Consider the following 27,554-nt stretch of genomic DNA (forward strand, 5'->3'; position numbering starts at 1 on the left):
ATAAATCATTTACCACAAACACATGCACTTGTATGTTTTATCACAGCACTATTCACAATAGCAAAGACATGGAATCAACCTAGGTGCCCATTAATGGTGGATTGGATAAAGAAACTGTGGTTCATATACACCACGGAATACTACACAACCATGAAAAAGAAAGAAATCATGTCCTTTGCAGCAACATGGATGCCATTATTCTAAGCAAATTAACACAGAAACATAAAACCTAATATGGTGTGTTCTCACTATTATAAGTGGGAGCGAAACACTGGGTACACATGGACATAAAGATGGGAACTATAGACATTGAGGACCACTAGAGTGGGGAGGGAGGGAAGGAGAGAACAAGAGTTGAAAAACTACCTATTGGGTAGCTCACTACCTGGGTGACGGGATCACTTGTACCCCAAACCTCCACACAATGCAATATACCCATGTAACAAATCTGCACATGTACTCCCTGAATCTAAAATAAAAGTTGAAATAAAAAAGAAGAGAAAACCAAATATAGAGAATTCACACTACCTGACTTCGAGACTTATTTTAAAGCTGCAGTAACCAAAGCAGCTTTTTGTTTGCTCAAGTTTAGATAAATAGACAAATGGAATAAAATAGAGTCAAGAAATAGGCCCATATATCTATGGTCACCCGATTTTCAACAAAGATGTCACTAGAATTCAATGGGGAAAATAGTCTTTAACAAATTGTGCCAGATCAACTGGCCATCCATATGAGAAAAAGAAAACAAAAACCTCTGACCTTTATCTCACACCTTACACAAACATTAACTTGGGATGAATCATTGACCTAAATGACAAAGCAAAAACATCAAACTTCTAGAAGAAAACAGAGAAGAATATCTTCATGATATGGGGAGAGGTGAAGATTTCTTAAATGGGACACACAAAAAGCACTAACCATAAAAAATATTGATAAATTAGACTTTATTAAAGTTAAGGACTTCTGTTTATCAAAAGATACCATTTAGAGAATGAAAAGGCAAGCCATAGACTGGGAACAGATATTTGCAATGCTTCTATGTCACAAAGGAAGTGTATACAGAATATATATATATAATATATATAATATATACAGAATATATATATTTTATATATTATATATTATAATATATAATATATATTATATAATAAATATTATAATATTATATATTATATAATAAATATATTATATATTATATAATAAATATTATATTATATATTATATAATAAATATTATATATTATATAATAAATATTATATATTATATAATAAATATTATAATATTATATATTATATAATAAATATTATATTATATATTATATAATAAATATTATAATATTATATATTATATAATAAATATTATATTATATATTATATAATAAATATAATATTATATATTATATAATAAATATTATAATATTATATATTATATAATAAATATTATAATATTATATATTATATAATAAATATTATAATATTATATATATTTATTTATATATTTTATATATATAAAAGGCCTTTAATCAGTAAGAAAAAGACACACAACACAATCTTTACAATGGGCAAAAGACCTGATACAGCATTTCACAAAAGGGGATACAAAAATGGCCATTAAATTTATGAAAAGTTGGTCAACATCATTAGTAAATAGAGAAATGCAAATTAAACCCACCATGAGATACCACCACACACAACTAGAATGACTAAAATTAAAATGACTGATAATGTCATGAATTAGTGAAGACATGTCACAACCAGAAGGCTCTTGTTTTACTAGAGAGAGTTTAAATTGGTAAACCACTTTGAAACAAATGCCTGGCAGGTCCTACTAAAAAGTTAAACATAACTACCCTTTAACTCAGCAATTCTATCCCGGAGTAAAAACCCAATACAAGTGAATACATATGCCCATCAAAAGACACGTACATGAATGCCAATAGCAGCGTTATTTGAAATAGCCCAAAATGGAAACAATCCAAATACAGTAAAATAAACACTAAACTGAAATACATTGTTGTAGATTAATACAATGGAATACTGCTCATCAATGGAAGCATGAAGTATGGTTCACTTAACAACAGGTTAAACCTCACAGGCGTAATGTTGAGTGAGAGGTCAGATACAAATGAGCACCTATTGCATGATTTCTCCTCTATGAAGTTCAAAACTAACCTATGGAGATAGGAGTCAGCATAGTGGGTCCCTGGAGGGGCACTGGCTGGGGCGGGGGTGAGTGGGCACCACCTTCTGGGAAGCTGGAAATGGTGGATATATCTCTGGGAGGTGATTACATAGGTGTATATCATGGAAGTTCGTTAAGTTGCACATTCAAAATGCCTATACTTTGTTGTATGTATGTTATACCTCGGTAGAAAGATAATAAGTAAGATATTTCTTTACAAAAATCAAAAAGAATACGAGAGAATTAGCCAGATGGTGGTGGGGTGAGCAGAGAAGTCAGGAGAGGGTGTCACAGAAGGGAAGAGCATGTTTGAAGAAGATCTGGGGAAACAGCAATGCTGCGATTGTGCCATGTGGCTGGAGCATTGAACACAAGTAAGGGGGTGCGGGGAGCACAAGAAGGGGGAGAGGTTGGGGAGGGTAGACAGGGGCCAGAGTGGGAAGAGGGCAGCGTAGAACATTGATCACGAGTGTTCATGTGGTCTCTTGACTATGCAAGGGCTTCTAAAAGGGCCATGCAGAGTCCTGGCCCTTTCCATCCCAGGAAGGATAGCCTTCTGCCAGCTAAAAACCAAGTGGGGAGGAGGATGACTAACCGTAAATGTGGCGAGAGATCTTACTGGGGTGATAAAAATATTCTAAAACTGATTTGTGGTGATGGCCTCACAACATGGTACATTTAAAAAAAAATCATTGACTTGGATACTTGAAATGAGTGAGTTAGATGATAAAATATGTTGAAATAAAGTTATTTTTAAAATTGGAGGTGAATCCTTTCTTCCTCCTGATTGCCCCTGCTCTGGAGGGCTCTTGGGGATCTTTCCAGCCCTCTCCCTCCACTTGGTCTGGCTCTCCCTCCCCTTTGCCCCATCGCTGCCTGGGTTTCAGCTAGAGAGCACACTCACACCCACCCTCTCAGAGACACCCCCAGCAGCTCTCCAGGTAGACATGACCAGGGGCTAACAATTGGTCCCCAGGTGCCTGCTACCCCCACTGTCACATAACCCAGAGAAGGAGGGCTCGTTCATTCCCATTTCACAGATGAGAAGATACAGGGCTTGAGAAATTGAACATTCAAGCTTTCATAGTCAGGAGCAGAGCCTGTGCAGTCTCTGACCTGCTGGGACAGAGTCAAGTCACTGGAAACGTCAGTCTCCATGTGAGGGCCAGTGGGGCAGCCACAGGGCACAGGGGCAGGATGGAGGGGGCTGGGTGTGGAATGGTACAGGGCTGGGTGTGGGCGGCCGCTCTCACTCACCACTTATTGCCACTGATGTCGTGCTGCTGCACTGTGTAGCCAAAGAAGGCGGTCCTGGAGCCAGGGATGACCCGGGGCTTCCTGGTGTCCATGTTGAAGGTGTCCGTGAACCCTGAGGCAGGGGGAGAGGAGAGGAGAAGCAGGGGAGTCAGACAGGCAGAGGTGTAGGCCCTGGGCTGTGTCAGGACCCATTGGCAGGTCATGAACCTTGGAGGGTCTTGGCTGTGGGACAAGCATGTTTCCCCATCTTGGGGAGTCCCTGTATGAGGTGGCTGATGTAGTCCTTGCCTGGTAGGGCCCACAGTCTGATGGGAGAGATTCCACCCCCGTCCTGGGGGAGCCTGATATGGTTTCAATGTGTATCCCTTCCAAATCTGACGTTGAAACAGGATTCCCAATGTTGGAGGTAGGGCATGGTGGGAGATGTTTGGGTCATGGGGGCGGATCCCTCATGAATTGCTTGGTGCCATCCCCTTGGTGATGAGTGAGTTCTCACTCTAAGTTCTCACAGGCCTGGGTGTTTAAGAGTGTGGGGCCTCCCCCCTCTCTTTCTTGCTCCCACTCTTGCATGTGACACGCTGGCTCGCCTTCACCTTCCACCATGATTGGAAGCTCCCTGAGGCCCTCATTAGAAGCAGATGCTGGCACCATGATTTCTGTACAGTCTGCAGAACTGTGAGCCAAAATAAACCTCTTTTCTTTCTTTCTTTCTTTCTTTTTTTTTTCTGTTTCCCTGACACAGAGTCTCACTCTGTGGCCCAGGCTGGAGCACAGTGGCTCGGTCTTGGCTCACTGCAACTTCCTCCTTTCAGGTTCAAGAGATTCTTGTGCCTCAGCCTCCCAAGGAGCTGAGACTGCAGGGACATACCACTGTGCCTGGTCGATTTTTATTTATTTTTTAGTAGAGACAGGGTTTCACCATGTTGGCCGGGTTCCTGTTTTCTTTATAAATTACTCAGTCTCAGGTATTCCTGTATTAGCCCCACAAAGAAAGGCCTAATACAGACCCTGTACATGGATAGGGGGGACATAAAACCTGCTCTCAAAGAGACCCAGTCTGAATGGAAGACCTGTCCTTCCCCCAGGGAACTCCCGATTCTACCAGGGAGAGACAGTTGCCCTCCTTCTCCATCACTCCTTCCTCCCATCTGCTGCTTCCAGCTTTTGTTGGTCTCCTCTTTTTTTTCCCTCTCATTTTCCTCCTCTCTCCTGCTCTCCCTTCTCTTCCCTCCTCCTCCCTTCATTACCGCCTCCCCTATCTGCTGAAGAGTCAGGCAACTGACATCCACCTTCCTCTGCAAGCCTGAGGTCCCAGTGGCCATGGGCGCCGGCACTGGGCTCCCCACTTCCCTCTGAACCAGTTGACAAAGCTCCGTCTGGCTTCGGCAGGGGCTTCTGCTTGGCCGGGGCAGCTGAAGCGAGCACAGAAAAAGCCCTATGACCCTTTCGCCCTGGCCCCAAGGGTCGCCCCTGTTTGTTTAAGTCACCTGTCAGTTAACTAATTCTTCCTGGCAGGAAGCCTGTGTTAAGCCAAATGCTTTACCCCTTTGGGCAAATCACAAGAAACAACAAAATAGCACCTCACATCTGTATAGTACTTTTGGTTTCTGGGCCTCCTCACATCTGCCATCATTTGCTGTCACAGGACCTTGGAGAATGAGTGAGCATCGTCCTCACTTGGCAGATGCACTTGGTGCAGTACCAGAGAGGTTAAGAGGATTGTCCAGGGCTGCACAGCAGGTCAGTGGTAGCATCAGAACTAGGACCTCAGACACCTACTCTGTGACGCCTCCCCACCAGAAGGCATTTTCAGGATACATCTGGCCTTGATACCCATCCACACTTGGGACGCATTAAATTTGAGGGGTGGGATCTTGCCACGAGCCAAAACTTTTGGATAAGTAAAAATGAATTGGCAGAATAGACCTTTTATCATTGTTGCCCCTTTCACATGTGGGATACTTATTTAGTTTCAAAGACCATTCACATGTATGTTATCATTCGATCTCCATGACAAGCAGCAAAGGGAAAACAGAGGGTCAGAGAGGTTAGCTGACCTTCCCAAGGACCCAAGCCCGCTGGGTAGGGCCTCTGAATTTGAGGCTTGGACCCGCACACGAGTGCGCCACTCTCCTTCCCCTGGGCACTGACCCCCTGCTCAGTATTCAACTGTGAAGCCCTGGGGCACCTACTTTAATAAGGCCTATCATACAGAAACAAGTTATTTTTCCCACTGTCTCCCTTTTTTTTTTTTTTTTGCTCAGCAAACACATAACAGTAGCCAAAATTTCCATCATTAGAGTCATAGAATTAAAGTCCCCAGAGTAAAACTGAGGGACCTTCAAGTAGGGATATTAGATACGTGTTATCTTATTGAACATGCCAATGGATCATTAGCACTTCTGGAGCACTGAGTTAGGAAAGATTTTGAGGTCAAGTCTGGGCTCAGTAGGCAAGAGGAGTGTGACTGATAGCACTACCTGCTATGGGTACAGGGGAGGACAGTGGCAGCACGTGACTATGTAGCTGCCCACTCTATCGTCACGATTCCTAATCTCCCACATGAATTTAGTGTCATGGCCCTGGAGTGGGGGTTGGGGAAGAAGAGTATATGAACCCGTTAGTGCTTTGTTTACAAATCCCATGCCATAAATGAACTTATCAGCCTGGCTAGCAGCGGGCAGCCTTGGAGAAGAGGACTCTGTTCCGGTGAGCACAGGGTCCTGAAGAACACAGGTCCCTGGCCAGTGAAGGCATGTCACAGAGGAGAGAGAGAGAGACAGCAGTGTCACATGTGCAATGTCACAGAGGAGAGAGAGAGAGACACCAGTGTCACCTGTGCAGAGCTCGGAGCTTGGTGGGCATAGGGGGGTTACTGAAGGAGTGTTGCAGTGGCAGAGAGAAACTTACCCTCTCTCCAAATCTGTCCCAGGAATGAACACACACGTATGCACACATGCACACGCACACAGATATACATGTATGCACGCACGTGCACACACACACAGACACACACATGCACAGGCCACATACACCCTGATTGTGGACGGCACTTTGCCTGGCTTCCTGGTGCCCACTAGAGACTAGGACTTCCCCTTCCTGCATCTGACCCAGCAGGAAAAGGAAAGTATGTTCTAGCTGTCAGGAAATCCAGACCACCTGCCACTTCCAGGCCTGCAGAGGGGTGAGGGCCAGTGAAGGTGAAGCCACAGATTGTGTCTTTGGGGCCTTGTCCACCCCAAGCCCTCTATCAGTGCTTGTTGTGCAACCATGGCCAGAGGGACCCTTCCAAGACCTGTGAGATCCCGTCACCCCTCAGCTCCATCCCCTGTATCAATGAGTTTTCCACCCCATCAAAGCCAAGGCCAAACTCCTCATTGCAAGGCCCTCCATAATCTCACCGCATTCACTCTGCCCCATTAATTTCTACCCTCTCCTCCTCCTCTCCTCCAGCCATACTGACCCTCTCGCTGTCCTTCCAACTTCAGACTCGTTCTCTGCTCAGCATCTTTGCCGTGGCTGTTCCCTCTTCCTGGAATGCTCTTCTTCCCATACCTGCAAGGCTCTCTCCCTCCAGTCTTAGAATCTCTGTTTCAATGCCATCTTGTCCATCACCAGGCCACCAAACACCCCAGGGATCCCTTCCTGTGCTCCATTTTTCCTCATAGCGTTTATCACAAACATATGACATTTGTTTATTGTCACATGGCTGATATTTAGAATATTCCTATAGTCTCTAAGTGCCACGGGACTCTGCTGTGTCCTCACTGCTCTATCCTCAGTGCCTTGAATGGAGGTCCAGCTCGTAGATACTGGTTGACTGAACAGTTAGAGACCAGGATCTTCATTTGTCTGGGACAGTCTCTCCCCTCAGTGAGGAAAAGGAGAAAGGAAATAATGATGAGCGCTGATATATTCCAGGCACGATCCTAGGCATCTAACCGTGAGTTTTACATTAATCAATTAAATCTCACACCAACCCCATGAGACAGATACAATCACACCTCTGGGAGATTAAATAGTTTCCCCAAATCACTCAGCTGGGGACACATTAGCTGGACACATGACCACATAGCTTGGGGTGCCGGGGTGATGTGTTCTCTTCCCTCCCTAGATCAGTTTTTCATAAGAAGGACTCACTGGGGAGAAGGGAAGATTCCTTTTAGAGAAGAGGGTCTCCGCTTCCTGCCCTAGGTCCCATTGCCTCTGCCTTTGGGTTCCAGCAGGGAGACGCAATGGGAGGGAAAGCCAGCTGCCTGCATTCCATCCTGCAGCCAAAGTGAGGTGCCCAGTGAGGGGGTGGTGGGGGCCCAGGGGAAGGTGGGACTAGTCCTAGACAGAGCCCCAACCTCACTGGGGACAGGATTAGTGAAATCTGGCCACAAGGAAGAGGCATTAAATTACAAAGTGCTGGTTTCGTCTCCAGAGACCAGTTGGCGTTTGCTTCTGACCAAACCGAACCAACCAGAGAGTGGATTTCCTAAAAATGATGTCAGTCAAGTCCATCTCTCTGACCTCGGCTCCTGACAAGATCTCTGGCCGCCTCCTTTTATGGTAGATGGGTTTCATGTTTGGGAGAAGTACTTTTCTCAGAGATTGATGACTTCCAAATACCAACATGATAAAATAAAGTTGTTTTGATGGGAATGAACAGGCTGATTGCAGAGATGTTGGGAGCCTGGTTGGGCAGCTTGCCACTGTTCTGCCCTTGATATTGATGACAGAGGGGGAAAAAAACCACAATTCCTGGGCTGCTCTCCTGTGGGCCGTGGCCAAAGTTACGTCAACTGTTGCTCCCTTTCTCAGAATCTTGTGTGTCTTTCAAAAAAAGCATCAGTCAGTCTCAAGAAGGGACGGAAACCACAGCATCAAGCCAGAGCATCACTTGGGGCTCACAGTTCTCAAAGCCACTCCACTCCCTACAGGTTAAGGTGAAGGCCAGGTAGGGCAGTCCTGGTCCCAGGTGCTGAGGGCTGCTGGCCAGTGTATGGCTAAGGCCATTCAACAGCTCAGCGGGGAGAGTTCGCTCCAGCTTAAGGAGCGTCTGCTGTGCTGTTCCATTTCCCTGCCTCTCCTCCTCCTCCCATATAGCTTCCCAGGGATCTTGGGAGAAAGTCCAAAATGTTCCATGTGGCCCCATGGCCCCTCAGCCTCTGCCTAGCCTTGTCTTGTGTGAGTTTTCCTCTAGGTCCCTTTTCTGCTCCTCCAGATGCACGTTGCTTCCTCTGCCTCAGGGCCTCTGCATGTGCCATTTCCTCTGCCTGAGCCTCTCTGATGAGCTTCCCATCACCTTTAAACCCCAGCATAAATGCAAATCCTCCCCTGGCCTCCCCTGGGAAGCTTCCCTGATACCTTGATTACATCAGATCTTGCTTAATGATCTCATCACCCCTGTGCCTTACTAATGGGTGACTGGTGACCTCTCCTTTTCTTCTCACAGTTAGTAATTCTACTCCATGGATGTGACTGTCTGATTACTCCTGTCTCCCGCATCAGGACGCAGGCTCCATGAGGGCAGGATGGGGTCTGTTTGCTACTCATTGTTGGGTCTAGCACTTAGCACAGGGGATGAGTGGAGGGCAAGACAAGAAGAGAGATGGGTCCTATCAGCTTGGGAGAGTGGCTCACGGGAAGCACGTGGAGTGCAAGTGTGCCCTGCAAGCAGATGCCATGGTTGTTAGAGAGAAGGACCCTGTGGGCTGGGTGCTCAGGAAGCTTCTGGAGGTGTGATTCTGGCCTTGAAGGGCCATGTGGAGGAATAGGTGAAGTGGCCCAAAGGTGCTAGGCAGGCTTTCCTGGTGCAAATGTGGAGCCGGGGAAAAGAAGAGAACAGCCTACCTGGGTGGAGGTGTCAGGAATTGCCTGGCTCCTCCTGCCATCCTGCCAGGCTCCTTGAGAGTCAGGCCAGACATGAAGAGAGGATGGGCTTTCAGTTCTGGGAGGACTTGGTTAGAAGCCTGGCTCTAGCACTCATTCATAAGTGGGTGACCCTGGGGAGTTACTCTCCCTTTCTGGTTTTCAGTTTACTCATCTATAAAACAGGAATAAAAATATCTATCTGGAAAAGTGGTTGGCAAGACTAAAGGGAGTAGCAAACCTCTGGCACTGCCTGGTGCAGGAAAGGTACTCAATACATCTTGGTTGAATTGAACTGGATCAAGATGCCCTGGTTCCTTGAGCTGGCCTCAGCGCTTTTGCCCATGCTGTTCACCATGCCTGGAAGGCCTTTCTTCCCTTCGTCCTACGCTTTCAAGTCCCACCTCTGATGACACCTCTGCTGCAAAGTGGTCCTTCCTCTGGGGCCTTCAGCGTGGGCTGCTCATAGCTCTGTCACTCCCTGCCTTGCATAACAGCTGCCTTCCCTTCTGCCTTGCTCTTAGGTTATATGCTATTCAAGGCCACATCCATGAATGGCTTTTATCTTTGCCCAGTGCCCAAAAGTTGCAGATAGACTTGCCTACCGGATTTCTCACCTTCTGAGAATCTGTTCTCAGAATCAGTACCTGTTGGCTCCTCCTGCCTTAGTTTACCTCCTAGCTCCCTGACTTAGGTACTGATAGTAGGTACTGATAGGTAGTACTGATACTCTACCTATCAGTACTACCTGATTAGGTAGGTACTGATAGGTAGTACTGATACTCTACCTATCAGTACTACCTGATTAGGTAGGTACTGATAGGTAGTACTGATACTCTACCTATCAGTACTACCTGATTAGGTAGGTACTGATAGTCCCCTACCACTTAGATAACAATAATAAAAATAATTGTGTACATGAACAAAGCTCTTACTATGTACCAAGCACTATTCTGAATGTATTTAATGCTTATAACCATGTTTTGCAGTAAGTATATTATCATTCTCATTTTAAAGATGAGAAAACTGAGGCACAAAGAAAGTCAGCAACTGGCCAAGGTCATACAGCTAGGAAGCGGCCAGGATGACTTTGAGGCCTCACGGGTCCCGTGCCATCCAGCCCATCACCATCAAGTCTTCCTCTGCCCTTTCAGACACCACCGACCGTCGTCAGTCACTTGAATCCTCCCTGGAGTGGCCTCAGCCAGGCTTGTCCCCTCCTACACCTCTTCTTCTTCAGACTCATCTATCCCAGTCACATGCTCTAAGATCCTGCTCAATACAGAACTGACTGTTGACTCCTTGATCACAACAAGTGGAACACAGCAGACCTGGTATACCAGAAGGATGGGGCCAGAGTCCCAAGGGTCTTGAAAGTCTGGATGAAGCACCAGGTTGGAGCTGACGGCCAGAGGAAGCCGATCTGTGGAACCTAAGCGTGAACACCTCCCAGAAGCCTCTCCGCAGCCCTGCCCCAGGCCTCCACTGGTTCTTTGGGCTCTGCTCCATGTTGCAGATGCACCTGTGTAAGCAAGAGCTTTCATTTTCCTTGGAGGGAGGGCGCTGGGATGGGGTGAGGGAGGTGGGGTTTATCACTAAGAATCTCTGGTATTATCTCACTCTTCCCAGTTTTACTTGGGCCCCAAGAATCTTCACGTCTAAAAGCAAATCACAGAGAGGGAGAGGAGGAGGGAGAAAAGACCATAAGCTGGCCTAGGCAAAAAGATATGGCAAAGTGAACCTCTTGCTGCTATGGGGGAAAAAAAACAACCCATTCAAAAGTGAAGAAGTAATGAGCTTCAGATGGCTGGCTGTTTCGTATCCTCTGCATTGCTGCCCCTTTTGCCCTGGCGAGCAGGGAACATGTGAGGGTTCTTGCTCTGCTGCCAGCCAGCCTTCCCTTCTGCCCAAGGCCATCATTTCAAAGAGGCATCTAGGAAGGCAATGCTAGATTTGGGAGCATTGCTGGAGGCCCAAGGACCCTAGTCTAGGCTCCTGTAGTAGGCACTAGTGCGATAGAGCAAGGGAGGGGTGAGGGGACGTGGTCCCTACATCAGAGAAGCTTCTAGCTAGTTGAGGGAAGAAGGCCTTCATTACAGAAGAGCTTGGGGAGCCCTCTGACTCTGGGGAGAAGCAGGGATACTGCCCTTGGGGACCTGCTGCTCTCATAGGAGACCTAGTAACTCTGCCCTCACCCTGGGAAGCCCCCAGGCTGGTGGGGAGTGTGCGGTTCCGCCCCCATGGGCAGCTGCGTGGCCAACAGGGAACTCACAGTGGACTGTGAGCATCCCATGAGCAGCAACTCTGCCTGCATTGCCACATGGAGGGTGTGGAGTGAATATTTAAGTAATAGGATTAGACATGTACACTGAGCAGAGCTGATTCCACACAATCTTCTCCCCATCTAAGACTGAGCAATGTGAGGAGAACTGGATTCTACTTATCCCTTTATCCCACCATAAGGCCTGGTGCTCAGAAAAATGTGTTGAGTTAAAGTAGAAATTTCAGCTCTGACAACCACAACAAATTATCAACAACGACAACCCTGGAGAGGCCTCACCCAGGCTTATCCCCCTCCCACACACTCCTTCTTCAAGACTCACCCATCCTGGGCCCATGCCCTCTGCTCACTACAGAACTGATTGGTGGCTCCCTGATCACAACAGGCAGAGCACAGGAGACCAGGTATGCCAGAAGGACAGAGCCAGAGTCCCAAGGGCTTAAAAGTCTGGATGAAGCAGCAGATGGGAGCCGATGGCCAGAGGAAGCCGCTCTATGGCAGAAGAGAGGAACTGGAGGCACAGCGATCCCGTAACTTGTCCCAAGTCACACATCTAGTGGGTGGCAGAGCTGGGATACAAAAACAAGTGGTCCTGCTCCAGCTTGCATCATCAGTCTCAATTCTTCACTTCTCTATATGCACACCCTTTACCATGGGACTTTGTAATTCCTGCCTCTAAAAGAGGAGAGTATATTTCCCCCAACCTTGACTTTGGGCTAGGCCATCTGAGCAGAAATAATGTGTGCCCATTCCCAGCTTGGGCCTTAGGATGCCTTGTCTATTTCTGCTTGCTGGCACTTCTGGCAGCAACATGAGACGGCTAGTCCACTGACCCCAGGAAAAGAGTGAGAGATATTCGGAGCAGAGCTGCCCCAGCTGAGTTGCCCCAGCCCAACCTAGCTGAGGTCAGCACCCCCAAACTCACAAGCAAGCCCAGTGAGCCCAGCAGAGCCACTCAGTTGAGCTTAGCTTGGACCAGTTCACTCCCCCACCCTCAGCTGACCCCAGATATGTGAACTAAACAATTATTATTGTGTGCCACTGAGATTTGGGGGGATTATTGGTTACAGGACATTATTATAGCAATTGATAATTGATGCAGCTTAGCTCTTAAGTGATGGACCATCAGGGAGGAGGAACAATTTCACAGAGTGATTGGACAAAGACAAGGAGAAGAGGAGCTGGGGATCTCTGGGGACTCGTGGTTGCTGGGGTAGTACCCCAATCATTTCCTACTCAAGATCTCATCAGGAAGACCCAACATTAGGCAGAGCTGGGCCCGGGCCTACCCTGTCAGGGAGAAGTGTGGCCTAACGAGCAAATCATGGCCTCCTCCTGCCTCAGCCATACACCGGGCCTGATGGCTGGGTTGTCCTGAATCACTCAGGGAATGACAGACGCAGACCCACAGCCAGCCAGGCACCCAACATGGATTCTGGGCTCTGGAGCAGCTCTGTGCAGAACGGAGCCTCCAGAGCATGAGGCCTCCTTCACCTCATTTTCTCTCTTTCCAGTTGCTAGGGGGCATGACACGAACTCCCCGTTAGACAAGCTACCATTGGGTCAAAGGTGGTGTGTAGCAAATATGTTATTAGGGAGGGGGAACTTATTCGCTTTTTTTTTTTTTTTTTTTTTTTTTGAGACAGAGTCTCGTTCTGTCACCCAGACTGGAGTACAATGGTGTAATCTCGGCTCACTGCAACCTCCGCCTCCCAGGTTCAAGCAATTCTCCTGCCTCAGTCTTCCAAGTAGCTGGGACTACAGGCATGTGCTACCATGCCTGGCTAATTTTTGTACTTTTAGTAGAGACAGGGTTTCATCATATTGGCCAGGCTAGTCTTGAACTCCTGACCTCAAGTGATCTACCTGCCTCGGCCTCCCAAAGTGCTGGGATTACAGGCGTGAGCCACTGGCACCCAGCCAGGACTTTATCTTTAAGAACAAGCAGGAATTTTCCAGATCAAATAATCTATTAGCCTCCAAACTTTGTTTTTCTACAGCGAATCTCACATTTTTTGAACAAAATATATACATGAAAAGTAGACACAAGAAGTGGATGTTGGGGTTAGGACTAGGGGGTAGGGAGGAATTTCCCACCCTCAGTAGCAGACATAAGATGCCTCACTGAAACCTTAGGGTTTCCTGGAACACAGTTTGAGAACTGCTCTGTCGAGTTTAAAAAGCTTGTTGCTATAAGTGAGAAGACTAAGGCCCAGAGCGGGGTAGAAATGTGTCCAAGGTCACCAGCCTCTCTTCATACTTATCTATGTTCACCACCACTCCTTCTGTGTTAGTCCCCTCTATGGCCCTTCAGTTCAATAAACCTCTATTTGGGGTCTATGGAGCTCCAGGTTCCATGGTAGGAAGTGAGGACACCAAGCTGGCTGAGACACGACTTACGGTGTTCAGAGCTTACAGCCCCACTGGGCAGGCAACAGACATGTTTATAAGTCAACAGAGCCTGAAGTGAAGCCAGGAGAAGTTTGGACTAGGGTGGGGTGATCTGAGTTCTAATCTCAGCTTTGTCATTAACTTGGCTGGATGTCCATTGAGAGCCCCGGTGCCTCTCTGGGCCTCAGCTTCCCCATCTGTAAAATGAGAGGCTCCTGCTTTGTAACATCGAAGACCCACCACGGCACATGTCAGTGAGGTTCCCTTGGGCAGACGCCAGCTGACTTCCAGTTGTCGGCACTCGAGCATCTGTCTTGAGTCTCAGCAAACAATTTAGAATTGGAAACCAGGCAGTGTGGAGGAATGCAAACTCATCTTAATGTTGGCCGGAGCCATGCGCATTTAGGAAGGGAAATCTCCAGGCAAAAACGATAATATTTTGCATTCCCAAGCCAAGGAAAGAACGAAAGAAAATCACCATCAAACGTTTGGCATTGTCCAGGGCCCAGCTCTCTCTCTCCCTTTGCCTGTACCATGGAGACTTGGCTGGGCCCTCCTGCCCTGGCTGGGGCTTCTGGACACACCCAGATGTCAGAAAGACAGAGGCCTTGGTGGGGGTCCAGGCGATGTGGTCACCTTTCCACAGAAAGCCCAGCCTAGCCCCAGAGCTGGACTATGCTGCTGAAACCTCGATGAGGAGACTTAGGGCAAGTGGGCAGGAGGGCAACATGGCTGCCATCAGACCCCCTCTTAATTCAAAACTTGCGGACACCAGGCAGGGAGCACCAGCTCCTTTGAGGCATGACTGTGGCCTTGGAATGACAGAGGCTTCTCAGTCTCCCTGAGGTCTTCTAGGAATGGTCCCTGGGGGGACGGGGCTGGAGGGCAGAATGCTAAGGTCAAAGGCCACAGGATGAACTTCTGACTTTAGGACAGCTGGTTCCAGGACTCAGCAAAGGGGACATGGGAGTATAACAGCCCCTCCTGAGTGCTGAGACCACTGTGGTGAGAACTAGTTTGGACATCAGAAGACCTGGTTTCTCGACTGGCTATGTGACCTGAAACAAATACCTTCCCTCTCTGGACCTCTGTCTCCTCTTCTAGAAAATGAGGAAGTAGGGCCAGGTGGTCTACAAACATTTCCAGTACTGAGGTTCTGAGTCTGTGTGTTCCGCCTCCTCTGGACTTATTTCCAAATCCATCTCCCCTCAGAGGGGAGGAGCAGGCAGACTGGCACCGGGGGCACTCCCGTGGGCAGGCCAACGGCCAGGGCCTCCGCAAGTATCTATCAGATTGGCTTTTGGGACTGAGGTCATTCCCTCCTTCCCCTCTAGCACTTGGGTCCAAACAAGTGTCCCTCAGCCTCAAGCCCCCCCATGAAAGTGAGCTGTAACCCCTCTCCCCACGGCTTAGCGCCCAGCCGGGCCTGCCCTGCTGCTACAGTTGCAGGCTGCCACTAGGGCTGGCCTGGTGATGCCAAGCCAGTTCTTACCACCCTGATACCCTCCTGTGCTCTAGAGAAAACTTAACCAAACTTGGGTCTTTCCAGGAGAGGGATGCATCCCTCCTCTTTACTCTTGCAAAAGACCCCCCTGTTTTCTAGCTTCTCTGATCAACTCGTCAGCATCTTACTTCTCTGCCAAATGACTACCCCTGGGTGGACTGCTTGTCTCTCTGCTAACTTGGCCTTATCCCCCTGCCTTTCTTCTGAAGGAAGCGCTATGGAGTCTCTCCTATTCCTTATTCCTCCAACTATAATATCACCGCCAGCCACTGGCCTTCCTCATCTCTGGATGTGTCTCTTGGCTTCCCCAGCCTTTGTGCAGGTCAGAACGCAGCTCACTGGAGAAGACGGGGAGGAATAATGGGACGAAGAAATTGTGTCTTCTGATGGAGTCTAGAGAAAGGGGAGGGGTTCAAGGGATGGAGGGTGCTGTCCATTTGAAGGCTGGATAGAGAGACTGGCCACAGAAGGGAAAGGAGAAGGATTTCAGCAGCACGGGGGGCTTCTGTGGAAAAGCATCATCTGTCCCCATGGTATGAGCACACCCCTCATTTCTTAGCAGAATCTCTGGGGGAGATTATCTCATTTGGGAAACAGCACGTCCCCAGTCCACACCCACTGCTGCTTCCGGCAGGGAGTGGCTCTGAGCACGCCAGTGGTTTGAGGCAAGGCCTGTGTCATGGAGCTGCAGCCACAGTGTCCACCTTCCCCGGGAGGAGGAGCCCTAGATAGGGATGTGCTCACATGCCCTCTCGAATGTTAAGCATGTGAAAAAGAACACACCAGGAAGCAGAGAGCTCATGTGTGTCATGAGGGGCTGGGAGCCATCACTAGGTGAGTTCCAGGGTCTGCGTCAGCTGAGAGTCTTGAAGATTCAGCTGGCCTTGATGTGGATGCTCAGAAAGAGTGAAGCAGGTGCTGCCTGCCACCAGGGGTGAGCTTATCAGATGAACTTGATATTCATCCAAGAAGGGCCTAAGTAGAGGGATGCAGAGCAGCCTGCCATTCACCCACTGTCCTCTGTCAATTCCACCTCCCCTTTCAGCCAGGCCCTGGCACATCCTCATCACACACACTGGGTGCCTGCAACCTTGGAGCACCCTGACCCTGGCCTGCCTCCCTCTCTTCTACTTCAGTCTTGTCATCTCATCAAAAGCCTTGCCTGTTATCTGTCCCATCCCCTCAATGTCCTGTTGTATGGTAGATAAACTAATGCTTGTTAACAAGTGACTTATCACAACAGCCTCCCCTCAGCCATCAAAAGCATTTGCAGCTCTATATGAGGAAGAATTCTCCAAATCAGAAAAAAACAATCAATCTGGGGCTGGGCAGCCTGTGGAGGAGTGAGGGTCCCTTCCCTGGGGTTGCAGAGGAGAACAAATGTCGGCTAGGGCAGGTGGCATGTAGGCTGAAACAGAGACTCACAGAAGCATCCGGAGACAGGGAGACAGAGAACGAGCAAGGGCTGGTGAGAGCCTCGGCAGTCCTTTGTATCTTTTTCTGAGAACTCAGGAGTTTGCCAATGGGCTGGTTAAGCAGATGTCAAGCTCAAGGAAAACAGGCCTAAAACTTTAAAGCAGCAAACAGCACATTGAGACTGACTGTAATTAACATTATTTTTCCTCCGAGCCCTGGACAGCCATCTCATGCCTTCAGAGAATATATGGATCATCTTCTTCAAGAACAAGGGTCATGGCTGGGTGCGGTGGCTCACACCTATAATCCTAGCACTTTGGGAGGCGGATTGCCTGAGCTCAGGAGTTCGAGACCAGCCTGGGCAACATGGTGAAACCCCGTCTCTACTAAAATACAAAAAATTAGCTGGGCCTAGTGGCAGGCATCTGTAATCCCACCTACTCGGGAGGCTGAGGTAGGAGAATTGCTTGAACCAGGGAGGCAGAGGTTGCAGTAAGCCAAGATCGCACCACTGCACTCCAAACCGGGTGACATATGGAGACCCCATCTCCGTAAAAAACAAAAACAAGGGTCACAGTTTTTTATGAAAACTAGTGTATTTTTCCATCTTACATCATTTATCATTTTCTCTGTGTAGGAAAAGTGATCAAAATGGACCTCCTCTTTTTTTTTGAGACAGAGTCTTGCTCTGTCTGAGCGAGTGTGTGGGACCTTGGCCTCAACATGGCCCGAGCTCCTGAGGACCCCATATTTCACCCCACCCAGCCCAGGCCTGCCCTTTGAGCCCCACAATCAATTTCCTGGCTGCTTATAGGACATTTCACTTGGATGTCTCATAACATCTCACATTTCACATGCTGGAAAAGGAACCCAGGTTTTCGCTTCTTAAATGGTTTTGTCCCCATTGCAGGAAATGGCATTACCACCCACCAGATGGCTCAAGCCAGAAGCTTGGAAGTCATTCCTTATGATTTTCCTTTACTTCCCATCAGCAAATCCTGCAAGTTCTAGCCCTCCATTCCTCTCCAATGTGCCCACTCCTCTCTGTCTCTTCTGCCATACTTGGACTAAGCCATCCTCTTCATTTTGTATTTAGACTTGCACTAGAGTTTTCCAACTGGTCCCTCATTCCAATTTTGCTCAGCTTCAAGCTATGCTCTTTGCAGCAGCCACAGTGATCTTTCAACGGTGTGAACTAGATCCTGGCTCTGCTTAAAGCCCCCGAGAGTTCCTCCATTGCATTTAGAATAGATTCTAGACCCTTCCCAGGGCCCACCAGGCCCTGCGGATTTGCTTTCTCACTTACTACCTTCCAGCTTCACCGTCTTCCTCTCTGTTCCTCAGATACACCAAGCTGTTTCCCACTTTGAGATCTTTGCATTTGCAGTCCCCTTTGTCTGGAACATTCTTCCCCAAGAACTTTTCTCAGCTGGCTCCTTCTCAACCTCCAGTTTTAACGCCATGGCCTCTGAGAAAGGAGAATCCATTGCTATGGAGAATCTGTTCTTCTCCCTCACAACATCTTCTTTATGTATTTTACAATTAAAAATAATTACAGGTGGTTATAAGAGCTGTTTGCCTACTTGGACACTGTCTCCTCTCCCACTGGAGTTTAAGTTCCACAAAGGAAGGGACTAATGTGTGCTGGAGTCTGCATACAAGAGCTGATTGTGTGCACTCTTCCCATTCAGTGATGTCATGTTGGCAGCTTGAAAACGACCATGGTGGGAGGATTTACATCATGGTAATTGGCAAATACTACAAATAAGAATGATAGGAATTCTTTCTATCCCATCCCAAGAGCCAGAATCAGTGTGTCTGTCTCCCCACTTTATCCTTAGCATCTAGAACAATGCCTAGCTCACAATAGGTGATCTATATACATTTGTTAAATGAGACGGAAAAAATGAATAGAAGTATTCAGGCTTCTAAGACACTAACCTTCCAATAAGGGGTTAAAGGGGAAAGTGATAGAGCCTCAGGGAGGGAAGGAACTTAGAGTACTGGATTTGGCTTCAGAAATCCTGGTTCTATTGCCAGTATGGTTTCTAAATTGCTTTGCAACTTTGGACCAGTTTCTTACTTCACATGGCCCTCAGTTGCCTTATCTGTGAAAGGCACACACAGGACTCGATGCTTTAAGTCCCTGTGTAGGATTTTTAAAAGCCCATTTATGTACACCTTTATCACTTTCTTTACCCACCCCCCCACCCCCTTCCTGAGGTCACTTTACTACACAACTGCAGAGGATGCTGTTTACATTGTAGTTGATGTAAATCATGTAGCGCACAGCCGGTACAGCTGTACGTGGCGGCCCTGCCCACACTGATTCTGGCTTCAGGCCATTTCAACTGGAGCTGAATTGGACAGTGAGTCCCTCCCTTTCCTGGCATACTGACCATCTCAAAGAGCTCAGACAGTTTGGTTTTGGTTTTCCAACTCCTAAGCTTGTCTCCTGCTTGTCATGGGTGTGTGGATCAAGAGCCCTGTGCATGTGGGATGAGCCCCAGCCCAGAGAGTGTTTGGGCAAAATAAGAGCAAGACAAGGCTCAGGATATGCAATTTGTGGCAGGGCTTTCCCTCAGACGAGAGGAAGTAGGGTGAAGAGGACTCAGAGAACTACTGGGCCAGTCTGCCCTGCTCTTTGAATGCAAACTAAAAAAAGGAATTGTGGGGGCCCTTCCCTTCTAAGCCTGCAGGGCCCGCCCTCCAGTGGATATACCCACACCCATCTGAAAAGGTCTCTGGCTGCATGGAATTTAACAGAGATCCACCAGATGCCATTGTCTAGGCTTGGTGGGGATGGCGGACTTTGGGGAGTGGAAGTGTTTTTGTTCTCTGAGGGTTATGCAGAGGTCTTTTTGGTTTTCAGTACAGGCCAATTTTTCATGGTTGCAAAACGATCTCAAATGTCTACTGCTACTTTTAGGTCCTTAAAGGAGTCAAGGGCTCATGACTCCATCTGCCTTTGCTAGAAAATGAAGGACTACCATGCAAAGTGGTGAGCCCCCATCACTGGAGGGATGCAAGCCTAGAGTGGCCATTTGTTTGGGATGTTCAGGCTCTGTTAAGGGCCCTCCCAGGCAGACCCTTGGTGCTGAGGCCTCTCAGAGAACCCCTGAGGCCCAGGACCCCTCATGAACCTGTGGATGAGGAAGGGCCAACCCCGTACTGAGTGTACCCATTGTTTGGAAATAGAGTCCCTGTTGTCAACTTCTTTCTCCTGTTACATCTGGGTTTACAATCAGGATTGAGGTTCTGGCTCAGGAAATGTTCATGGCAGCATGGAAGCATAGCCCCTAAAGGGCTTTTAGAAACATGAAGGCCAAACATTTATTTTAGAAGAGATCGAATGGAAGTCTTGAGAGGTTTGGATTCTGGCTCTCTTGTTTAGCAGCAGATGTATGACCTTGGGCAAGACACTTGACCTCTCAGAATTGCAGTCTCTCGAGTCAGACTGCCTGGCTTCAAATGCCAGGCTGTGACTTTATCATCCGGGTGATCTTGGCTAAGTTACTTAACTTCTATGTTAGCTAGTATTACTGTTGCCATTAAGTGTCGAGACCAGTGTTGAAACCTTATGTCAGTGGAACAGGCTCCTAATATGGACTTTGTTAGGCTCAGACTCAGTCTCTCCACCTGTGCAATGGGTTTCATGTCATCTCCCAAGCCACCAGGACAGATTCTGGCTTGGTGGTTCCCAGGGATTGGACTGTAATCTGGGGTCTATGTTCAGCTCCCACCATCTTTTCTGGGCACTCCCAGCTCCTTCTTGGGTGCTAAACAACATGGCCACATTCTGTGGCATATAGATGATGTCTGAATCACTACCCTTTTGTGGGAAATGAGGCATTTAAAATTTCTGCTGCATGCTCCCTGCCCCCTTGTTTCCTAGGAAGTCCCATTATATAACTAGGTTTTCACTGTGTAAAAACAAGGCCATTCCCCTGTCTCCTTGTGTCATCTCAGAGTCATAGTAAATAGTGATGAATAGCATGGGGCCAGCTGGGCTGACCTGGACTGCCTGCTGTGAGCCAATTTACTCCTTTCTAAGGTTCCCCTCCCTTCCAGAGCCCTTCCTCCCTTCAGCAACCTTCCTCGCTCTGCCCATTTGTAAGCGATGCTCAATGGCCACCAACCTCTTCTTGTCTGGAAAGAAAGCCTTTGATAACAAGTGGACAGGGAAAAGTCAGGACTGAATGTATACCTACCTAGTAGCCTGGGGTCGTAAGGAGGAGGATTGGCTTATCTAAAAGGAGTGATTGATTAGTAAATGGGATTTCTAGCAACTGTGGCAGGCGGGTGGGGAGATTTTAACTGATTGATTGATTCATTCTTGAACTATTTATCACTTGTGTACTCTGGCCAAGCACTGTTCTGGGCCCTGGGATGCGTAAGTAAACTCAACAGACAAAAATCTTTGCTCTCAGGATTACATTCCATCGGAGCAGGCAATATACAACATGAATAAATAAAACAGGTAATAATGTGAGATAATATTAAAAGCCTCGGAGAGACTAAAGCAGGGAAGGGGGATAGGAGGGGAGTTTATGCATGTGAATGCATGCAGGGGGGTTGAATTTTAGGTAGGAGCCCGAGGCAAGGCCTCAATGGGAGAAGCATGTTGGAGTAAACTGCCTGAGGTTTGGTGGGCAGGATGCCGGAGTGTGTGCTGTGAGGAATGGTAAGAACAGAACAGTGGGCTGAGGCCTCTGAGAGGAAACCGAAAGCCAACTAAGGCATTTGGATTTAGCAGATGGGAGCCATGGAAGGTTTTTGAGGGAGAGCAGTGACATGTTCTATCTGTGCTTGGAGGAGCTTCCTCAGGTGGGAGGGGGAGGCTGGATACAGCAGCCTGCAGGAAGTGAGAGAGGTTCTTGGGGAAGAGCATTCGAAGCAGAAGAAACAGCAAGTGCAAAGTCCAAGGTGCCTGATGTGTTTGAAGAACAGCCCGGAGGCCCCAGGGGTGGAGCGGAGTGAGCCAGTGGGGAAGGCACAGAGGAGGAAGTCAGAAATGCAGGAGAGCCAGATCACACGGGACCTCTTACTCAGAGTAAGCGGGGAGCCCTGGAGGGTTTGGAGCGGAGCAGGGACATGACATGATGTGACCTACATTCTGGTGGCAGTCCTCTGGCTGCTGGGTGGGAGAGCCTCAAGGTACAAGGGCGGATGCAAGGAGGCCAGTGAGGGGGCTGTGGCCACAGGCCATGGGAGCTTTTCTGTCCCCTGACCCCTCGTGTAACCTGCCTTCTGGTCTTCCTCTTTTGGGCTGAGCAGAGTGGGGAAGATAGATGGGAGATCAGAGCCTTCACACAAAGGTGATGTGGGGCCAGCCTGGGTGGGGGGTGGGGGTGAGGGGCTGGGTTTCAGATGGGCTAGAATGCAGACAGATCTACGCTGAAAAGAGAGGACATTATGTAGCCCAGAAATATGTACAATTATTATTACGTGTTTATTAAAATTTTTTTAGAAGAGAGTTAAGAGCGGTGATACTCCCAGTGGCAACCGGGACATGTTCAGGACGATGGTAGGGGCTGCTGGCAAGCCTGCTGGTGCCTTTGCCCCTGGCTGGCTTCACCATCAGCAGCAAGCACATTCCACAGCTGATGTTTGGCTTGTGGTCTGGCCTGGCCCTCTGGTTGGTTTCTTCTGTTCTAAAAGGCTTTTAAAGTCCGAATTTGAATTCTCTTTAAGTTTGGGGCATGAATCACTGCTTCTGGGCCTGAAAAGGGGTGGAGGGATAGAGGCTCTGTGCCGTGGGGCGCTCCCTCTCACTCAGGCCCGCACCACTGAGGCACGTCTGTGTGAAAGCTCCCAGTCAAACCACTCCAAGTCCGACTACTCACTTGCACGCTCCCTAGCAACATTCTCCACTGCCTGAGGGCCACCTCCACCTGCCCACGAGCACTGCAAAGTCAACGTTCAGGCCTGACTCAACTTCCCCTGTCAAACCTCTCATCCTCTCATGCCTCTCTTCAGGTTGGTGACACCGTCCTTGGTCTCCCAGACACCTTTCCTTCTCTGGTGACCAGGCCCTGTTAAATTCTATCCCCCTGGGTTCACTCCTTTTGCATCTCACCACCTCATTTCACTCTGGTGTCCCCTTGCTGGGTCGCTGCAGTAGCCATCTTATCATTCTACCTGCTCCCCATCGTAGCCCTGCTGTATCCAGCCTCCCCCTCCCACCTGAGGAAGCTCCTCCAAGCACAGATAGAACATGTCACTGCTCTCCCTCAAAAACCTTCCATGGCTCCCATCTGCTAAATCCAAATGCCTTAGTTGGCTTTCGGTTTCCTCTCAGAGGCCTCAGCCCACTGTTCTGTTCTTACCATTCCTCACAGCACACACTCCGGCATCCTGCCCACCAAACCTCAGGCAGTTTACCCAGGTGAACTCTCTCCCTAACCCTCTTGCTGCCAGACCCAGTCCTTCTTGCATTTACAAATAATCTCTCTCCCACCTCTCAAATCCCAGAGTCCTTTATCTGTAGCTGGCTCACAGTCATTACTTCCTCCCTTGCATTGTAGTTATTTATCCAAAAATCTCTCTCCTGCTAAACCACAAGCTCCTTGAAAGGCAGGAGTTATCTCTTCTCATCTTTTATCCCCCAGAGCATCTCCCAGGGCCTGATTCCAAAGGCTATTGTGCTATTACCTCCTGGAGTGCATGTGCAAAGAAATTGAAGACATCTACCCTGCCCTTAAATAGCTTTCCATTTACCTGGACAGAGAGTTCTTTGGTTCATTCAACACATCTTAACTGAGCACCTGCTATGTCTCGCGCTGTGCAAGACCCGGGGATACAGTGGCTAATTACAGATATGGTCCCTGTTCTCCTGGTGCTCCCTTTTCAGTAGGGGAGATGTCCAGGCAACTGGAATGCTGTATGGCGGGGGAAGTACAGGACACCTTGGAATCACACAAGTGGGGCCCCACCTGACTGATTGAGGAGGTCAGGGGAGGTTTTCAGGAGGAAGTGGCAAGCAGAGACCTGAAGAATAAGTTGGGGGCAGCCAGGAGAAATGAGGCAGAGGGTAGAATCAGACATAGGCAACAACAGGAGTGAAGGCCAGGGACAGCTCAGTGTGTTTAAGAAACTAAGAAGCTCAGTCTCATTGGGGCTGCTGTTGGCGTGTGCAGGTGCCCAAACGTATGGCTCTGTTAGAGGTGAGTCCTGAATGCAGGCCAGGGCTGGCCATTCCTACCTGGTCTGGTTGGCTCTGTCAAAGAGTCTGGACTCAACCCAATGGTTGTAGAGAGCTACTAAGGATTTAAGGAGGAAAGTAAGACAACTCTGTTTGTTTTTGAGCCTCACTTTGACGGCTGTGGAGAAAGCTCTGGATGAATGGGGGCAAGAGGGACAATGAAACCTGAGCTGGGGACCTCAGGGAGGTCCTAGGTGTCCCCCTGCTTGTCCCACCCCGCAGGCCGGCCTCCTCCTTCTTGTTGATGGAGTATTCCTTCCTCACCCAGCCTGGGCTTGGCGTTGTCGGTGTCCCATCCTGAGTCAGGTGCTTCCTTCACCTGAACCCTCACTTCAATTTCAGCAGGGCCCAAGATCACAGGGTTGGAATGACCCTAATGGACTTCGACTAACCCCTGCCAACATCTCTGAGAAACTCAGAGAACCCCCCGCCCCAGTGCCGGTGCATCTGTCTGTGGACAGCTCTGACTGGCATCCTCAGCCAAATCAATTTATCTATAGCTCCTCTTTGGTTTTTCTGGTCTCCCCCTTGGGGCCACACAGGGATCAAGTAGCTTATGCCTTGTAGGGGACATAGAGAGTATCACCAATGAATCACTCCACACCTACCAGCTCCAATCTGCAAAGTCCACCTTGCACTCAGCTTCTCAAACTCTCAAGCTGTGTCTCCAGCCCAACCCAGCTGTGAATCCTGTGGCACTGCAGGCTGGGCAGTTCCAGAAGGACTGAGAGTCAGGAGAACTGGTTAAATCTTGGCTTTACCACTGGTGTTGTGTGACCCTAGGCAAGTCATTTTCCTTCCCTGGAGAGTGTTTGGTTTTTTTTGCTTGACTGGGGCTGGGTTTACATTATACCAGTGATCCTCCATCTTGGATGCCCGTTAGAATTATTGGACAGCTTCAAAAAATGTCCCTGCTGGGCCCCAATGTGGAGAGTGATGATGTGTTCTGGGGTGGGGTCTGCACGACAGTTTTCTTCTACATCATCATTCTCACCCTCACCCAGGATGGAGGACCACTGGATCTGCTGGTCCCTGCCTTCCCTCCTAGTGCTGACCCTCTACAATTCCATGCCAGAATGAGATGCGAAGCCCATGTGGGCAGGTGAACAGGAGTCAACCCTTATTTAGAAGTGCTGACCCTGGAGGACTATGCCAATACAAATACTTGGGGCTGCCGAAAGGCCAGGAATTTTAAGTCCCAGCTTCTCAAGTCTGCCAAGGTGGAAGCTCCAGAGCCCAATGTTGAAGATGCAGAGATCCCCTAAAAAGGTTCCCAAAGCAGTCTTGAGGCAATAACTGGAGACAGAAGTATCTTAATTCCATGGCTTAAAAATGACCTCACAGCTCTGGCGTGTGCCTTTAGAACTGCTCCACAGACACCCCTGCCCTCTGTGTACATCAGTGTTTGGAATGAGCCCTGCAGTCTGTGGGATCTGTGGGGTGCCTTCTCCATGTTTCTTGAGGCAGAGACCGCGCTTTATCTAATTTGGAATTCCCAGAACTTGGAGGTGCCTGGGGCTTAGTGGGCGCTCAGCACATGCTGGTGAAATGGACAGGCCACTTGGTTTTTTATCATCTGTAAAGTGGGATCATGGTGTCTTCCTTGCCAAACAACAGGCCCACGGGGAGAGCCATGTGAGCAGGGCCGGTTTGATGAGCGCTTGGCCTGTACAGTGGCTGAGGGCCTCATGTTCAGAAAGGCCCTGCACTTGGTGAATGCCCTGCTGTGGCCATCTAGAAATTCTTAGTAATTTTAAAACAAGGGGTCTCACATTTTCATTTTGCACTGGGTCCTTCAGATTAAGTAACTGGTCCTGCATGTGTCATATGTGGTTTGAATAAACTCAGAGAACCCTGTCTACAAACTATTGATGGGACTTTATTATGGCCACCAATCTCTGAACGCAGGGGCTATGCATAGTGCCAGGGAGAGAGCAATTCCAGGAGATGGAGAGGGAATGGAGACTGCTTTGTACCCTTCTGCCTGGAGGAGGTGGGGCAAGGGCTTCAGTTTCTCCATCCATCTAATGGACACACCTGTCTCAGCAGGAACTCTGGCCTCACCTGGCCCGGCCTGACTGACAGAAGGAACATTGGGAGTGCTCTTTGCAGACTATCTAGAGCTACGCCCACTTGCCCATTTCACAATTTTTCCATGGCCTTCCTGAGGCCCAGTCCTCTGATCTTCAGGGAAGAAACAGGCCCTGAAAATCCGCAGGGTCAGGATTTCTGGTTGTCTGGCCCAGCTGAGTGATGCTGCTGGGGGAAGAAAGCTGTCAGCCCCAGCTGCGCAGGCAGGAACCCCTTCTCTGTGTCATCCTGTTTGGAAGCCCGGAGTGCATTGCTATAGCAACTTGCCTAATTCACCCCACATGCCACGTGGAAAAACCTCTGCCCGCTTTAGAGCTGCATCACCCAAGCCACAAGCTGGGTTCTTCTATGTTATAGAACGAGGCTGCCCATCAGCAACAAGGGCTGGGGTAGGGGGTATCTGACCAGTGATGGGGCAGGGGGCTAAGTGGTTGGACTACACCAGGTAGGTCTTCCAGCCTCACCTATTTCATCTGCTGGCTGGCCCTGGTGCCTGACATCCCACCATTAGCCCTTTATTCCTTGGGCTCAAGGCACAGCCAGTTGAAATGGAAATCCCTTTGGGTAGAACACATCACGTTGTCATCACTTATTAGTGCGGTTCAGCATGAGTTAACTCATTAGGCCTGAAGCTCAGAGCAGGTTCTGATTAGCGGAATGGGAGCAGGCGGGGCAGACAGGAGAAGATCGCCAAACCTTGACCCTGAGAATGGGCTGGAATGACAGCCCCTGGGAAGTCAGTGTTCCAGAGCACTGGGCACCTGGGGGCAGGTGGCAGAGCCTGGTGGGCCCTGAGCTGGGTGGGGAGAGGGGAGAGGGAGAGACGTTCTCACATAATGAAGCATCATAGGAGGACCACTTCTACCGAGTCAGCATCTTGTTGGAGGAGTCACTGTCTAGCTGGGCCTAGAAGCTGGTGCCCCTGTGGGGGTAGCTGTTTGCATACTGATCTCAATTCCCCAACAATTCCCCAATTCCTCCATTTCTCAGCTGTTGAAGACACCTCCTTTAACAAGGACAACTTACTGTCTTTCTGTGCCCTCAAGTTCCATTTCCTGAAGAGAGTATGGTGCATGGATTAAAAGCAGTGGCCCTTCTAATCCCAGCACTTTGGGAGGCCAAGGCAGGCAGATCACCTGAGGTTGGGAGTTCAAGACCAGCCTGGTCAACATGGCGAAAACCCATCTCTCCTAAAAATACAAAAATTAGCTGGGTATGGTAGCACAGGCCTGTAATCCCAGCTACTCAGGAAGCTGAGGCAGAAGAATCACTTGAACCTGGGAGGTGGAGGTTGCAATGAGCCGAGATCATGCCACTGCACTCCAGCCTGGGCGACAGAGCAAGACTGTCTCAAAAAAAAAAAAAAAAAA

General features: G+C 48.8%; 1 protein-coding gene across 2 annotated transcripts in view; it reads right to left on the bottom strand.

The window, feature by feature from the left end:
* ITGA11 (integrin subunit alpha 11) overlaps positions 1–27,554 on the bottom strand; it is a 135,632-nt gene that overhangs the window by 102,945 nt on the left and 5,133 nt on the right. For both annotated transcript variants that reach the window (XM_011521363.3, NM_001004439.2), the window contains exon 2: positions 3,442–3,553. In XM_011521363.3, coding sequence (XP_011519665.1) covers positions 3,442–3,553 — 112 coding nt within the window. The remainder of the gene's footprint in view (positions 1–3,441; positions 3,554–27,554) is intronic.

The sequence above is a fragment of the Homo sapiens genome, chromosome 15 (genome assembly GCF_000001405.40).
Source record: "Homo sapiens chromosome 15, GRCh38.p14 Primary Assembly".
Lineage (NCBI taxonomy): Eukaryota > Metazoa > Chordata > Mammalia > Primates > Hominidae > Homo > Homo sapiens.